Source organism: Homo sapiens, chromosome 1 (assembly GCF_000001405.40).
Source record: "Homo sapiens chromosome 1, GRCh38.p14 Primary Assembly".
In the NCBI taxonomy this organism is placed as follows: Eukaryota; Metazoa; Chordata; class Mammalia; order Primates; family Hominidae; genus Homo; species Homo sapiens.
Genome location: NC_000001.11, coordinates 8363704 through 8378480, shown reverse-complemented (window position 1 = coordinate 8378480; position 14777 = coordinate 8363704). Strand labels below are relative to the sequence as shown.

General features: G+C 47.9%; 1 protein-coding gene across 3 annotated transcripts in view, besides 8 other annotated features; it reads left to right on the top strand.

The window, feature by feature from the left end:
• Positions 1-14777, top strand: part of RERE (arginine-glutamic acid dipeptide repeats) — a 465237-nt gene that overhangs the window by 439160 nt on the left and 11300 nt on the right. For all 3 annotated transcript variants that reach the window (NM_001042681.2, NM_012102.4, NM_001042682.2), the window contains 3 exons: positions 12507-12669; positions 13643-13735; positions 14226-14425. In NM_001042681.2, coding sequence (NP_001036146.1) covers positions 12507-12669; positions 13643-13735; positions 14226-14425 — 456 coding nt within the window. The remainder of the gene's footprint in view (positions 1-12506; positions 12670-13642; positions 13736-14225; positions 14426-14777) is intronic.
• Positions 4118-4810: an enhancer, noted in NCBI's record as "NANOG-H3K27ac-H3K4me1 hESC enhancer chr1:8433731-8434423 (GRCh37/hg19 assembly coordinates)". NCBI's record gives its function as "activates a minimal SCP1, AML or CMV promoter by ChIP-STARR-seq in naive H9 embryonic stem cells {active_cell/tissue: H9 hESC(naive)}" and the evidence as "EXISTENCE:reporter gene assay evidence [ECO:0000049][PMID:30033119]".
• Positions 4118-4972: a biological region, named in NCBI's record as "Sharpr-MPRA regulatory region 599".
• Positions 4678-4972: a silencer, noted in NCBI's record as "tiled region #599; K562 Repressive non-DNase unmatched - State 18:Pol2". NCBI's record gives its function as "represses a minimal TATA promoter and a strong SV40 promoter by Sharpr-MPRA in K562 cells {active_cell/tissue: K562}" and the evidence as "EXISTENCE:reporter gene assay evidence [ECO:0000049][PMID:27701403]".
• Positions 7932-8920: an enhancer, noted in NCBI's record as "H3K27ac-H3K4me1 hESC enhancer chr1:8429621-8430609 (GRCh37/hg19 assembly coordinates)". NCBI's record gives its function as "activates a minimal SCP1, AML or CMV promoter by ChIP-STARR-seq in primed H9 embryonic stem cells {active_cell/tissue: H9 hESC(primed)}" and the evidence as "EXISTENCE:reporter gene assay evidence [ECO:0000049][PMID:30033119]".
• Positions 10524-11024: an enhancer, noted in NCBI's record as "H3K27ac hESC enhancer chr1:8427517-8428017 (GRCh37/hg19 assembly coordinates)". NCBI's record gives its function as "activates a minimal SCP1, AML or CMV promoter by ChIP-STARR-seq in naive and primed H9 embryonic stem cells {active_cell/tissue: H9 hESC(naive and primed)}" and the evidence as "EXISTENCE:reporter gene assay evidence [ECO:0000049][PMID:30033119]".
• Positions 10524-11141: a biological region, named in NCBI's record as "H3K27ac hESC enhancer GRCh37_chr1:8427517-8428017".
• Positions 10972-11141: a silencer, noted in NCBI's record as "fragment chr1:8427400-8427569 (GRCh37/hg19 assembly coordinates)". NCBI's record gives its function as "represses an EF-1alpha promoter that drives an FKBP-Casp9 reporter gene in an ReSE screen in K562 erythroleukemia cells {active_cell/tissue: K562}" and the evidence as "EXISTENCE:reporter gene assay evidence [ECO:0000049][PMID:32094911]".
• Positions 12850-13820: an enhancer, noted in NCBI's record as "H3K4me1 hESC enhancer chr1:8424721-8425691 (GRCh37/hg19 assembly coordinates)". NCBI's record gives its function as "activates a minimal SCP1, AML or CMV promoter by ChIP-STARR-seq in naive H9 embryonic stem cells {active_cell/tissue: H9 hESC(naive)}" and the evidence as "EXISTENCE:reporter gene assay evidence [ECO:0000049][PMID:30033119]".

Here is a 14777-nt window from a genome sequence, read left to right as displayed (position 1 = left end):
CCTGTCTCCAAATAAAGTCACATTGAGAGGCCCTGGGGGTTAGAGCTTCAACGTAGGAATTTGAGGGAGGACACAGTTCAGCCAATACAGTTGCATAAAGACAGCTGCAGTCTCTCCCCTTCCTTCCTGGAGCTTCTTTGCTAGAGGGCTCTGGTTGCACGTTTACACAAGAGCACAGAGAAGCCAGGGCCTGGTTTGCAGGCTTGCCTGAATTTTTCTAAGATGTTTGCCTTAGGTGAAGTCCAAAATTCAGGTGAAAGAGATGAGACATTTCACATCTTGAAGAGGGTACGGTACTGTACTTGTGTTTTTGTGCTTTGAAGTGTAATTTTTGTTTCCGCTCCTTTTATTAAAGGTAATGCAGTGAGAAAATTAAGTACCCTTTCTTTTCCTTTCTTTGTATTGAGCAATTTTAAAATTCAACTTGCAGAAATGGATTATACATGATAATTTGCTGTGCATCCATAAAAACCATAAAATATAAGAGAAGTGTTGTTAGAGTAGCTGTTCCCATTTCCTGGCAGTCATTACATGCTTCCAATACAAAAACATTTTTCTCCTAACTATCTTTTCTGAGCTCAAAAATGGATTTCCCTCCAGCCCCTGTCATTCAATTATCACCTCGGGAAATGCACAGATATAACTGATGATCCCTTTCAAACGTCCTGCGGCAGGCCTCGCTCTCTCATCCTTCATCGTTCGTCCCGCTCCCGTCATTAAACGTTACATTGCCGATGTATATTTTATAAGGTGACCCTGACGGATGTCACTTTGATGCTGTGCAGGGATAATAAGATTGCACATATAATGAAAGGCCAATAAATAGAAAAATGTTTACGAGATAGAGAATGGTAGTTTTAACAGTTTTATGGCTTTCGTTTTTTCTTTCGTCTCCTCCCCCTTTGCTGGTAGAAAACATCAAGAAAGGTGAGGTGGCGATAGAACCAACGGCAGTGAAATCCCACTTGCCCTGTTTCTGAACTCTAATAAAATGAATTCAGGAAATAATGAAGTGTTCAGCTTGTGGGAAAGAAAAGTGATGTCAACAAATGAATTCTTAGGGTTTGGGAGGCTCTACCGAGAAAACAAGATTTTTCTGGTATTAGCATTATTACACTTAAAATATTTACATCCTATATTTAAACAAACAGTTCAGTAAAACAAGAAATAAACCTCCAAGAGGTTTAGAAATACAAGCCTCCAAGGGGGCCCTTGTGTGTGTGGGTTCCATGTAAGTGAAATTGTGTTGGAACTGCCCAGGGCTTCCAGGCCAGAGGCCGGGGTGATTCCCCTCATGTCGTGGGAGTCTTTCAGTTCAGCCTGAGCTTTAGACTGTTTTGCAGTGGCCTCAATCTTTGCCTTCAAATGAGTGGTTTCCAAATCTGTTATTTATTTATTTTTAAATTATTTTAATTACTATTATTTTTTAATTAAGTTGAAGTTAGGCCACTGTCAGTGCTTCCTCACTCAGCAGCTTTATTTACAAACAAACAAGGAAACCAATAGTTATCTATTGCTTGATCAATGAATATAATTTTTTTTAATAGATCTGCTTGCAGTGGGTAGCAACAAGGTCATAGAGGTTCAGCAGACCCACCCTGGGATCCCTCCAACACCTGTACGGTTTTGAGCCGCAGTTCAGAACCACTGATTTAAATAGATACTTCTAGCTGGAAGCAGTTTGGAAAGATGCTTTGTATAGTAGGTGTATGCAAACATCTTTTTTTGGGCAGAGCCCGTATCTCTTTAGGGACTCTACCTTATCTAGACTCAGGCATCACTGCTTTTGGATCAAGAGGCAGGTGAAGGCCACTTATTGGCACATTTCTGGGACATATGTTGCCTAGAGCCAAAAGTAGGCCAGAGGGCTTCTCCTGTATCAGAAGCTGGTGGGTGGTGTGAGGTATGGTAAGTAGGTAGTGAGGTGGGGAGGGTTCATGGTTGTAGGCTCCCAGCGTCTGTCTCATGTCGTCATAGAGGTTGTTCTTGGTATAGGAAGCAGAAAGCGTTTCTATAGACATGTGCATAATTCTAAATCTTCACTCATGGCTACCAAATGTGCTTCTGATTTGTGTGCCCCTGAAGTTGCTTCAAGCAGGTGCAGTTCTGTAGTCCATGGGTGCTGGGATGGGGGCTCTACCCTGAGCTGGGAAGGCTGGCATCCTGTTATTACCAGGAGGCACAGGGATATTTTGTGCTCCTCAGCCATAACTGCGAAGGTCCAGGTATGAAGATTAAGATGCTATTGCGTTGAACTCCAGAGATTCCAGAGATCAAAGATAGCCCAAATTTGCCCCCCTCACTTAAAAAAATCTAGATGGCTATTTCCTCTTAGTGCTTTAAACCATGATGGTCAAACGTTTTAGAGCAGCAGCACAGCAGAGTCTAAGGTTAAGGGCGTTAGACTTCATTGAAACTGAGCTTGGCCACATGGCTTCATCTCACTGTGCTTCAGTTGCCTCATTTGTAAAGCAGGGAAAATGAAGGTTTATCTATTTGGGAGTCTGTGAAGATAAAATATAAATAAAGATGAAGATAAAGTATATGTAAAAGATAAATATATATTAAGATATAAAAAGATATGGCTTAGCTTAGTTATTGTAGATTTCATAGTAAAATGTTGTTTGCTTGTTTGTAAATAAAGCTGCTGAGTGAGGATGCATTTTCAGTGGCTGCTGAGTGAGGAAGCATTTTCAGTGGCTGCTGAGTGAGGAAACATTTTCAGTGGCTGCTGAGTGAGGAAGCATTTTCAGTGGCTGCTGAGTGAGGAAGCATTTTCAGTGGCTGCTGAGTGAGGAAACATTTTCAGTGGCTGCTGAGTGAGGAAGCATTTTCAGTGGCTGCTGAGTGAGGAAGCATTTTCAGTGGCTGCTGAGCGAGGAAGCATTTTCAGTGGCTGCTGAGCGAGGAAGCATTTTCAGTGGCTGCTGAGCGAGGAAGCATTTTCAGTGGCTGCTGAGTGAGGAAGCATTTTCAGTGGCTTCCTAAGCCACCATTCCATGATACTCACCTTCAGAGCAGCCACTTCCAAACATCGGCATGTGGATTGCGTTTTCACTGGCCCATAAGAAATAAATGTAGCCATTTTTCCTAACAGTAAATGTAATCAAAGAACTTTTTCTGTTTACTTTTTTGGAGATAAAATGTCATTTCTTTTACAAAATAATGATGAGATCAGGAGGCAGTTACTTCTAATGACCTTACATGGCAAAATAAGAAAGTGGCAATTCGGTATCCATTTCTCAAAAGTTTTATCCTTTTAATTTCAGGTGAATTTTAATTCTCCAGAAATAATCATTTCATCAGATGTTTACTGAATACTTATTCAAGATGTTGTCTTAGACCTGTGGGGTACTCACAGATGAGATAGCACGTACTTTGGCAAGTTGGGTGGGCCCATGTATGGTTACAGCACAGGGAAGCCTGTCTGTGCCAGCACAGAGGCGGGAATGAAAAGATGTAGGAGTGAAACCTGTATGATGCCATCCAGTGGTGGGGGAGTGAAGTGAAGGGAAGGCTTCATGGAGAAGAAGGCAGCAAATGTGATGAATTGAGTCCTGAGTGATGAGGAGGACTACAGGGCCTGGACAGAGGAGGAGGTGGGGGTGGTATGGGGCTCAGGGGCTCACCCAGCAGGCAGGAGAGTGCTGAGGAACAGAAAACTGGCCATTGTGTTTGACATAAGCCAAAGGCCGTGAGGCGGGGGAATATGGTAGAAAGGAATATGGTAGAAAAGTCTTCCGGTAACACAGAGAAAGTCTCAGAAGAAGTAGTCAAGCAGCTGGGCCTTTGTTCCTTAGGCCCTGAGGAACCTTTGACCGTTTGGAGAAGAAGTGGCAAGGTACTAGCGGGGCTTTGGGAAGACTCACCTGGTCTGTGTGCAGCATGGGAGGGCCGGCCCAGGGAAGAGCTGTGGCAGGACCTCAGGTCCAGACGTCTGAGTGGAGGTGTGGGGCCAGGGTGGGATTAGCAAATGGCTGAGTTCATCCACCAGAACAACACAGAGCTTAGGAAATCTCATTACAGTGTTCAGTGTTGGCAGAAATCTTGAGCTATTGCAGTTCCTTTGCACTGTACAAATGGAGTGGTAAATGTAGTGGTAAAAAAAAAATTTTTTTTAACTGATTTTTTAAAATGTTATAAAAAGGTGCCTGGGTAAGGAACATCTTCATGAGTGTCTTAGACTGGCCCCACCTATTTACAAGTTAAAGCCACAAGACCTTCACGTACTTCCCTCCTTTCCCTTTGCCTTTCCCCAGAAGAGGATCTGGAGGTGGCACCGAGGGACTGCCTTGCCTGGAGGCAGCTGCCTCCTCACTGTGGGCTTCCTCGTGGGTGGCGGTTTAGATCAGAGCCCTTCGGCCTCTTGAACGTAGGAGGCTGAGATTTCAGAATTCCACTTCTCTGCGTGTGCCTTCAAGCAGATCATCATTCTCCCTGCTGCACTCAGAGACCACAGAGGTGATATTTAACGATTAGCAGCAGAGCCCGCTGACAGTGCCAGGCTCCTTTAGGGATTAGAGGATTCGGTTGGTTAACAAAAGAAGGAGCCCAGGAGAACAGTGCTTTAATTACCAGAGTTGTTACTGGAAGACAACCGGTTGCCTCCTGGAAAAAGATCTGTAGAAGGTGGCTGCTCCTGAATATCGCTGCTGGTTCTGCCCAGTGCCCGGCTTCTCACCTCAGATGTTCTGAACAGTTGTCAGATCCAGCCCTTGAATCGTTGGGGAGGGAAAGGAAAGAATGACTCGCATAGGATTCCATGCCAGGAAATGTTCCTGACTGCACTCGGCAGCAGCGTTGGAGCACTCCAGTTAGGGCAGCTCTTCAGGGGACAGCGTCGCATGCAGACTTCCTGGGACCGGCTCTCAGGGCCACAGCTCTTTCCTCATGGCCTGGGTCACTCTCTGGGCCCGGGTTTAGGAAGCAGCTCTACACCATGCTTCTTTCTCCCTCTCTGCCCTACATAATTTGAGGCCTTGTTTTTTATTATTTGTTGCTTGCTGGGATTTCTCCCTGAAAAAACATACCTTAAAAAAAAGTTTTAGATCTCTCCACTTCAGTAAGGAAGGGGTGGATTTCTTCATCCCCTTTACGTGGACCACCAAAGAAGGAGCCAGATGCTCACTGTGGGGCATTTTTTCAAACAAAAGTTTAAGCAGGGGAACAACATTCTGACTCTAATTGCACATTAGCACCGAGAGTTAAGGCATTGTGTAGAGATTATTTAGCTGCTCCTTCTGTATTCATGTTAAAATATTTGTTTAGCCATAGGAACAGATAATCTTGTGTCTTAAAGAATTAAAATGATTTCTTCTAAATGCTTACTTCTAAGACTCTGCGATGGGGTCAGGTGCGTACAAGGATGTGCACTCAGCAGCCCTGCCCCTGTTGGCTCCTGTCCCATCACGTAACTACAGTCTGCTCAGCTGACAGTGGTAGGTGGGCTTCGAAGACCTGTGAAATAGCTTCGGAAAGAAATTGTGTTTATAATCCTGTTATCCATGAGAAGCTTCCAGGCCTGCCTCCTCATCCCCCTTCTCTCCGACTGCCCCCTCCTTTTTAGTGGGCGATGCATGGCCCAGAAAGGGTGCCCATTGGAAACTTCGTTTGTGAAAAAGAAAGGAGCTGCAGCTGACCCTCACTAGTGGCACAAGGCCAGAGCCTGGGCATATGTGACGTTGCAGGGATCTGGTTTAGATGCCTGCCTGCCTGTATCTCCCCTCTGTCTGCATGGGCAAGGAGGCAGGAAACTGGTGTTCCAGGGCCTTCCTTAACATAGCCGTAAGGCCAGCAGTCCTCATCATTCTTTGCTGTTGGTCGTAAAACTGTGTTGTGACAGTGGAAGATTCTCACTGTTCTCTGTGAACTGAATCGAAAGGGGGTGCGCATACGGTTATTTACAAAGGACTGAGTCCTTCTTTGGCTTAATTTAAAACACACACACACACACACACACACACACACACACACGACCTGATGGTAGGTGGCAGGCTGCAGACACCCTGGATACCGTGTGTGGGAGTCTCCAGACCTCATCTTCTATTGCACTCCCTCCCCTTCCTCAGGGGAGTGTCCAGACTTCTTGGGTGATGTGGTAATAATGATATAATTACCAAAAAAAGTGGGACTCAATCTTGGGTGTACCCTTATGCTTCTAATATGGGACAGCAGAAACCATTGATTTAACCTTCTCCTGCCTCCATGTCAGCTTCTCAGAGGATCCTGTCTGAGCAGTTCATGCTGGGCTCGGGCAGAAGAGAAGCTGGGCCCCATACTGTTTGAAACAGGCATGCTTGCTACGAGTGAGCCTTTTATAGTCAAAATGCTTCCAGTGCCTTCTTCTTCAACAATCTCTTCTACTCTTTCACTCCCCCATGCCCCTAAAGAGAGAGAAGACATGTGGCTTATCACAGGACAGGTTACAGGTTCTCTTCCCGTAGCATTCCACTGCCTGTGGGAAATTAAATAGCAGTTGTGTTGGTGGATAGTGTTTAGTTTACCAAATGCGCACAGGTAAGTTGGCCTGTTGGAAAGCCTGGGAGGAGACCCTGCTCACATCTGTGCACACATGCACATACACAGGGGCACCCACTTGGCCCCTGGGTCGGGTTGCCTATCACTTACCCAAGATAAAGCAGAACTGGGCCTGGCCAGAACAGCAGAACCAGTATTAATACCTGAAATGGGTACAGGCAGCCTCTAGGAGGTAGGCAGCCCCGGCCCCTGTTGCTCCAGCCCAGATTGCCCAGGCGGCGGAGGGAGCTCTTAAAGACCTGTGCTGATGTCTTACGTTGTGTCTGTGTGAACTTGATAGACTTGCAGCCTAACCCTGGAGGGGGCAGAAATAAAGTGGTGGCTGAGGAGGAGAAAGTGGCCTGAGCCCAGCAGGCCCCTGGATGGCAGGAGCGGCTGCCGCTGAGCTGTCCCTCCGCTAGGCCCAGAGTCAGCTGACTCTGCATCCTTAGCTTTTTCCTTCTCTCCTAAGGCCCTTCACCCAGATTGCCTGGTGCCAAGCAGCTTACTACTTCTTCCCTCTCTCTTCCATGTGTGGCACTCCCTTCCCCTTGTTTTTCTTTTTGTGGGAAATTAAAGGAACCTAATGGTGCTTATTTTCCTAACTCCATCTTAGTGTATAGCCTGGAAAGACACCTCTGCTGGGAAGAGACTCCTAAGTCCAGGAGCCAAGCTCCTGTCATTGCCAAAGGCTTTTTGCATATGACCTGTGGGAAAAATTTAGCCCCCCCACCGCCAAAAGAAAAAGGAAAGGAGAGAGAATCTGCTAAATATAGCCCAATGGATTTGAGCACTTCTCTTGGCAAGAGCTGCAGCCGGGAACACTGTCAGTTGGAGATGACTTCGCCCTCTTCCTTTCCCATTTCTGCCCAGGCACTAAACCAGTTGAGTTCCTCATGCTGTGTGCAATTATAGCACCGAGACATAAGATATGTTGACTGTGAGACCTTGTTGTGAGATGAGGTGAGAGCATCAGGAGCAAAATGATCATTATAGGCCATTCATGTCGACAACATTTTATACCTCTGTGTTTGCTTGCAGGCAAAATCAGGAGCTAATTTGCAAGGCTGCCTTTGTGGAGCTGCCTTTTGATTAATGATTGCCTGTGTTAATGTTTCAGTAAGCTATTGATTTCTGCAACAGCTTTTGTTCCCTGAATTTATGTGCAGCGGGTCTCTGCAGCACACACTATGCATGTTTGATTAAAGTTCAATTGACTTCATTCCTGGCGAGGCCTCTAGCTGCTTCACTCCCTATTTGTAGAACCAGAGCTTTCCCCGACATGTTCTTTTGTTTGTGCTCAAGACCTTGCCACCCATGCAGTCACCAATATGCCATTTCCGATCCTAGACTCGCTTCATTCCAGTGTTGAATCCCTTGATAGGCATAACAGTGGTTGAGAGGCAGCTAATAAAACCCGGCCTGGATTTGTTGTTGTTTTTCTTCAGCTTTATTGACGTAACCTGCCATATATGGTATGAATACCGTAAAAATGCACCCACTTTAAGTACACAGTTTCATGAGTTTTGACCACTGTATACATTTGTGTCAGTGACACCACATTCAACTTACAGAGCATTTTCATCACCCTGGAGTGCTTACCTGAGTTCTTTTAGTTTCTTGTCCCCCACCCTCCAGGCTCTCGGCAACCGCTAGTTTGGTTTTTGTGATCTCTGGGAAGGACTCACGCAGCACCCACCGTCCCTGTCTGCCTGCTTTCATGCAGCATGGTGTTGCTGCATGTGTCGGTGGTCTGTGCCTTTTAATTGCCAAGTTGTAGTCCAGTGAATGTGGGGATACCATTATTTGTTTATCCATTCTCCTGCTTGTGGGCATTTAGGTTGTTTCCAGTTTGGACTGTTAAGAATAGTTTCTGGCTGGGCACGGTGGCTCACACCTGTAATCCCAGCACTTTGGGAGGCCGAGGCAGGCAAATAACGAGGTCAGGAGATCGAGACCATCCTGGCAAACACAGTGAAACCCCGTCTCTACTAAAAATACAAAAAAAATTAGCCGGGCTGGTGGCGGGCTCCTGTAGTCCCAGCTACTCGGGAGGCCGAGGCAGGAGAATGGCGTGAACCCGGGAGGCGGAGCTTGCAGTGAGCCGAGATCGTGCCACTGCACTCCAGCCTGGGAGACAGAGCAAGACTCCGTCTCAAAAAAATATATATATATAGAATAGTTTCTATGAATGTATCCGTGAAAGTCTGTGTGTGAGAATTTTTTTTTTCTTTTGGGTAAATAAGAGAAGAATTGCTGGGTTGTTTGGTAGATATCGTGGTTTGAGCATTCTGTATTTCCACCAGCAGTGGATGACAGTTCTGGTCACCCTGTCACCTTCCTGAATTGTAAGTTTACCGTTCTTACCACCTGTGACTTCACTGCTGTGGAGGACAGTCCTTCCTGCCTGGTCATTTTCTTTTCTTCTTTTTTTTTTTTTTTTTTTTTTTTTTTTTAGTAAAAGGCGAAAGATTTATTCGATTTGAAGAGAAACCAGTTGCCTGGTCATTTTCATCCTTGGCACTCAGATGGTGAAATCTGTTCTGGACTACTTCTTCTTTAAGTGTCAACAAAAAGTTGATGTTGATTTCAATGTTAGATTTCTTTCTTTTGGGTCTTGATTTTTTTCACTTGTTGGCAGAGATCAGTGAAGCCAGGAGCAAAGGTTTGAAAGTTAAGCCTTTTTTCTGTCTGGCATGGGGCAGTTTCTTACCTCACTGAACTCTGGCTTCTTGTTTTTAAGTGTTCTTTTATTTTTTTTAAAGAGATGGCCTCTCGCCCTGTCCCCCAGGCTGGAGTGCGGTGGCACATTTGTAGCTCACTGCAGCCTCAGCCTCCTGGGCTCAAGTGATCCTCTTGTCTCAGCTTCCTGAATAGCTGGTATTATTACAGGCACACACCAGCACACTGGGCTAATTTTTTAAACTTTTTTGTAGAGATTGGGCCTGTAGGGCCCAGGCTTGTCTTAAGCTCCTGGCCTCAAGCAATCCTCCTGCCTTGATCTCCCAAGTAGCTGGGACTGCCGGTGCACACCACCATGCCCAGATAATTTTTTTTTTTTTTGAGGTGGGGGACTAAATCTCACTATGTTGCCCAGGCTGGTCTTGAACTCCTGGCCTCAAGTGATCCTCCTGCCTCAGCCTCCCAAAGTACTGGTATTACAGGCGTAAACTGCTGCGCCTGGCTTCTTCCCTTAACCTGGGATCTGCAGGTTACTATCTTTTAAAGCCATTTCAAAACATATATATTTGATAAATAGAAATAATTGATTATAACTGTGTGTAGCAATATTGCATTATAGACAAATGCTATTTAGAAAAGTCAGGTTGCTGCTTTTTAACAGCCTTCAGGTAAGACTTGAAGGCATGGCAGAGGCTCAGGTACCACCTTCTCACTCGATTTTTCTCTCCCGTTTTTGGTCCCTTTTGTCTCGTATAGCTTTGCATTTCTTCTTACATCCCAAGCTTTTTTTTTTTTTTTTCTTTTTCTTTGAGACAGAGTCTCACTCTGTCGCCCAGGCTGGAGTGCAGTGGCACGATCTCGGCTCACTGCAAGCTCCGCTTCCCGGGTTCACGCCATTCTCCTGTCTCAGACTCCCGAGTAGCTGGAAATACAGGCATCTGCCACCAGGCCCAGCTAATTTTTTGTATTTTTTTTAGTAGAGACAGGGTTTCACCATGTTAGCCAGGATGGTCTCAATCTCCTGACCTCAGGTGATCCGCCTGCCTCAGCCTCCCAAAGTGCTAGGATTACAGGCGTGAGCCACCGCACCTGGCCACATCCCAAGCTTTTATCATTCAGTAGCCCCTAAAATGACTTGGACTGAGGAAGTAGAAGGAACCACTGTGAGTTTTTTCTCATTCTTCTTTCAAGCTCTGGAATTTGAGCTGTGACTTATCACAGCACCAGTTGCCCTTTTGAGCTCATGAAGCATGACCTTGGACAGAGCATTTGGAGTGTGACTGCTCCCTGCCTTGATTTCTCTTCCATATTTTCTCAGAGGAAAACCAGACACAAGTCAGCGTTTATGTCAGCAGTGATCTTGTAACCCCCTAGTGGGATTTACGAATCTTTTCCGTCTAGCCAACACCCAAGGATCAGTATAGATAAATGCATTTCCAAGTCTGGAAAGCAGGAAGTGAAAAGAGCTAGGAGGTTCACAGATCATGACCTTAGGGGCCAGGATGCTCATGCCCGCTGGGACAGTTGTAGCTCGCATTCCTAGACTAGCATGGGGGAGAGGAGCCAGTCAGAAATTCCAATGGCAGTATCTGCATTTCTCCTTATCATTCAGTTACCATCTCATGGAACCGAGGGGTGGGCACATGCACATACGTGTAGGGACATGAGTGTGCTTGTCCCGAGATGGCTCCCTGGCCCTGCTGGCCTGGGGTTATGCTTCATCTGCTAGGTATTGGTGATCAGGAGTAATTTGTTAAGTGTTAAGTGCTTGGGGAGGTTGAGACACGTCCAGTGCTCCAGGAGATACATGTGATGGGCTTTATAGGCCAGTCAGCCCTCCTTCAAGGCATTCCAGCCCTCCTTTAGGGACCGCAGCCGTGGTCCCACTTCTTACAAAAATGCCCAGGCATAAGATGCAGCTGTGGGCAGTCAAGTACTCAAGGCACGGCATCCCCTGCCTTGCGGAAGCCACCCCACCACCTAAAATCTGCCCACCTCTCTTGTCACTGTGTTCTGAGGCCATTTCCTCTGGGGGTGTTTTGGATGAAATCTGGTCTGATGGGTGAGTTTGTCATGTGGCAGCTACATGTCTTTGTTTGGTTTGTCTATTTTAGTCCTTCCAACACTAGTCTTTCCATCCCCCTCTCTCACTTTCCCCTCTCTCTTTTTGCCTCCTCCATTCACAAGACAGTGTTTGATGAGACAAAGTGAGGGTGCAGGTACCTCCAAGACAACTCCCAGCATCTAGTCGCCAAGCTAATAGACTTTCTACAGTGTTGATTTAATTAGAGGGAAACCAAGTGATCTGTGCTCTCTCACTTGGCTGTGTTTGTTTTTTGGGTTTTTTTTTTTTGTTTTTTTTTTTTGTTTTTTTTTTTCAGTTCTAGGTAAAGAGACTTTATCTTGGGATGTTTAAGAAATCGTCTTTTGTGTGTAGGGTGAGATGGCAGCCTGCAGCGCCCTGAGGGCTGGGGGTGCCCAAAGTGCCCTTTCTTTAAAAAGCTTACATTTGCTATATTTCCAAAAAGGTATCTTGCTTTTGTTTCTGCTGGGCCATGAAAAGAAGCCTGACCTTGTGGTGTGTGATATTTCACCTTTGCATCAGCACCACTGTGTGTCTGTCCTCTTGTAGTCTTTCTTTGCCAAGCCCAGTCCTTGCCTCTGGACGTCGTGCCGGCATGTCAGATGTGGGCCTTCAGATGGAGCCAGGTGGAGGCTGTGGAGCAGTTTCCTGAGCATGCGGTCTCTGTTCTTCCCCACCTTCTGTTTGGCCCTGGTTCCTCACCACCTGGGCAGTTTGCTTTGGTTGGTTGGTTGTTTCTGGGGGAGTCTAACTGGCCGGGCATTTCCTTCTCACACCTGTGTGATTTCACTGGCATTACTGTAAAGAAAGCATCGTTGTGTTCACACACATGCACAGACTCACGTGCACACACAGCTAGAATGTAAGCTCCTCGTGGGCAGGAATCTTCTCTCCTTTTCGTCCATTGTGGATGATGTGTACCTCCCATGTGTACAACAGCGGTGGGGTCTGACATAGCAGACACCCAACAAGTACTTGTTCTTGGTGTCTGGAAGTCAAGCTGTGCTGGGCTGAGGAGGCGGGCCCCATTCATGCAGTCCACGGGCAGCTCAGTGGCTGTTTCTTGGGCAAGCCCAGTTCCTCTCCCAACTCCAGGAGCGACTGGTCTTTATTCTCATCTCTGGCACAGCTGTTAAACACCCAGCTTTCCACTGTGGCAGAGAGGGTGCGTGGGGCACGGAAAAGCCCCAGGCCCTCCCCCACAGTCAGCCCTTCTCTTCTGCAGGGGGAGCTGATCACCTTCTATTACTATTGGAAGAAGACCCCCGAAGCAGCCAGCTCCCGAGCCCATCGTAGGCACCGCAGGCAGGCCGTGTTCAGGAGGATTAAGACTCGCACCGCGTCCACACCCGTCAACACACCCTCCAGACCCCCGTCCAGTGAATTCTGTGAGTAGGGGTCTTGGCATCACAGTGGGCGGAGGGGAGACTGTTCACGGGCAGCCTGTCCCACTCTGGGCCCGTAGGAGCTGATGGCTCCGGGAAGCATGAGGGGGTGTGCACCCGTGCTCCAGTGCATGTGTGAAGCCTGACCTAAACATAGACCGATGGTGGGGGCGGGGAGCAGGACAAGGATTCAGGAGGGAGACTTTAAAACATTATTTGTACATTTAAATATTTCTCATAAACTCAACATCATCTTAGGTTTTTACAAAAAATACACGTCTTGGCCTGGGATGTTTTTGGCCTTGTCCTGGGAAGGTTTTCCATTTGACAGATGATGTACTTGATGTCCTGCTTGAATTCTCATTGCACTTTTGGTTGTAAGAAGATCAGATTAACACTTTCTTCTTTTTCCTCCTGCTTCACCAAGATCCTCTTTTTGGTCCCAGTATGATGTACAATCTAATGATGCTGGAGCCCACACCTTCTCACCCCTAAAAAACTGGGGTGTAGCAAAAGTGCCTTATAGCTCTGTCCTGGCCCGGGACGCTGAACCTGAGGGGCGCCGGTGTTGCGCATGCAGGCGACTAGAAATCACCTAGCAGGACGGGTTGGGGGCGCTCGGTGAAGTTGGAATTTCTCAGGATTGCCTGGGCGTATTAGGGAGGGAGGCAGCATGGACGCGCTTGTCCCAGTTCAGACTCACCCGTTACGGGCATCAGTGGCAGGGCAGGCCCTTGGGTATGGCGCCTCACACACAGGCCCTCTGTCCTGGTGACTGACACTGAGGAGCTCGAAGTGGTCCTTTGCAGACACTGTCCTACCTCAGCCTGTGCACCCAGCCGCTCTGACTGGTGGCCAGAACCTGCAGTAGGCCAGAGGTCACAGGTGTTCCCCCCTCCCCCCCACCCCACCGGCCCAGCCTTGGCTGAGCATGATGGTGTCTCCCCCACCCCCACTATGTGCCTGCCACGCCCAGTGGACCTAAGTTCAGCCAGTGAAGATGACTTCGACAGTGAGGACAGTGAGCAGGAGCTGAAGGGGTACGCCTGCCGCCACTGCTTCACCACCAGTAAGTGGCCTCGTCACGCTCCTGGGGCGGGGCGGGGGCACAAGCACTTCCATGTTCTGAACATTTCATGCATCCAGCTGGAAACCTGCCAGGGACAGTACTTGATTTGACATTTGCATTGTGCTTCGGGATTCGAGAAAGTTAGAAATGTTTAGTTTACTTTACTCCTCTGCTTGGCAGTCGGTATGGAATACTGACTGGTAGGCAGGACAGATTGAGTGGGATTGGGGGGTTGACACTGTAGTTCCCAGGAGCTTGCTGCCAGCTTTTCCTGGGCACCCCAAGTTGAAGTGGGCAGCAGATGCCCCTGAAACCCTCTCCTGGCCTTGGGGGAGCAGGGCAGCACTAGCCCTGGGGTGTTGGGGCCCAGGGCTGCATGGTGCTGGTGGCATCAGGTTTGGGTAGAGCCCACAGAAGGGCCCCTCTGCCCAGACATCCCCAGGGAGAGGGATGGTTTCCAAGGTTGGCCCCCACCACTTCCCTCACACAGCCTCCAAAGATTGGCACCACGGAGGCCGGGAGAACATCCTGCTTTGCACCGACTGTCGCATCCACTTCAAGAAATACGGTGAGCTCCCGCCCATTGAGAAGCCCGTGGACCCGCCACCGTTTATGTTCAAACCCGTCAAGGAAGAGGATGATGGGCTCAGTGGGAAGCATAGCATGAGGACACGGCGGAGTCGGGGCTCGGTGAGTCCCCTGGGGCCATGGGGCTCCTGGCAACTTCTTCAGTTTCCTGGGATGTGTGGGGGCTTGAGCCTCCCAGGGGGAGGAAGCGAAAGTCTTGTTTACCAGACAAAGTCCTGGAGGGGAGCTGCTTTGCCCGAGGCGGTAGCTTGCCTGTGGGCTGGGAAGAGTTCTCTGTTCTCTCCTTCGAGGGGCCCCAGGGTGGCATCCTGCTCTGGGTTTTGTAGCAAGCTCTTAGCTTCTGGCTCAGTGCAGGCTCTCCAAGGCCCCTCTTGCTCTCCAAGGCTGCTGCTTGTGGTGTCACTTCCATTGTATCAAATCTCTGCTATTTTAAACTTGCAGGCTCTTTTGTGTT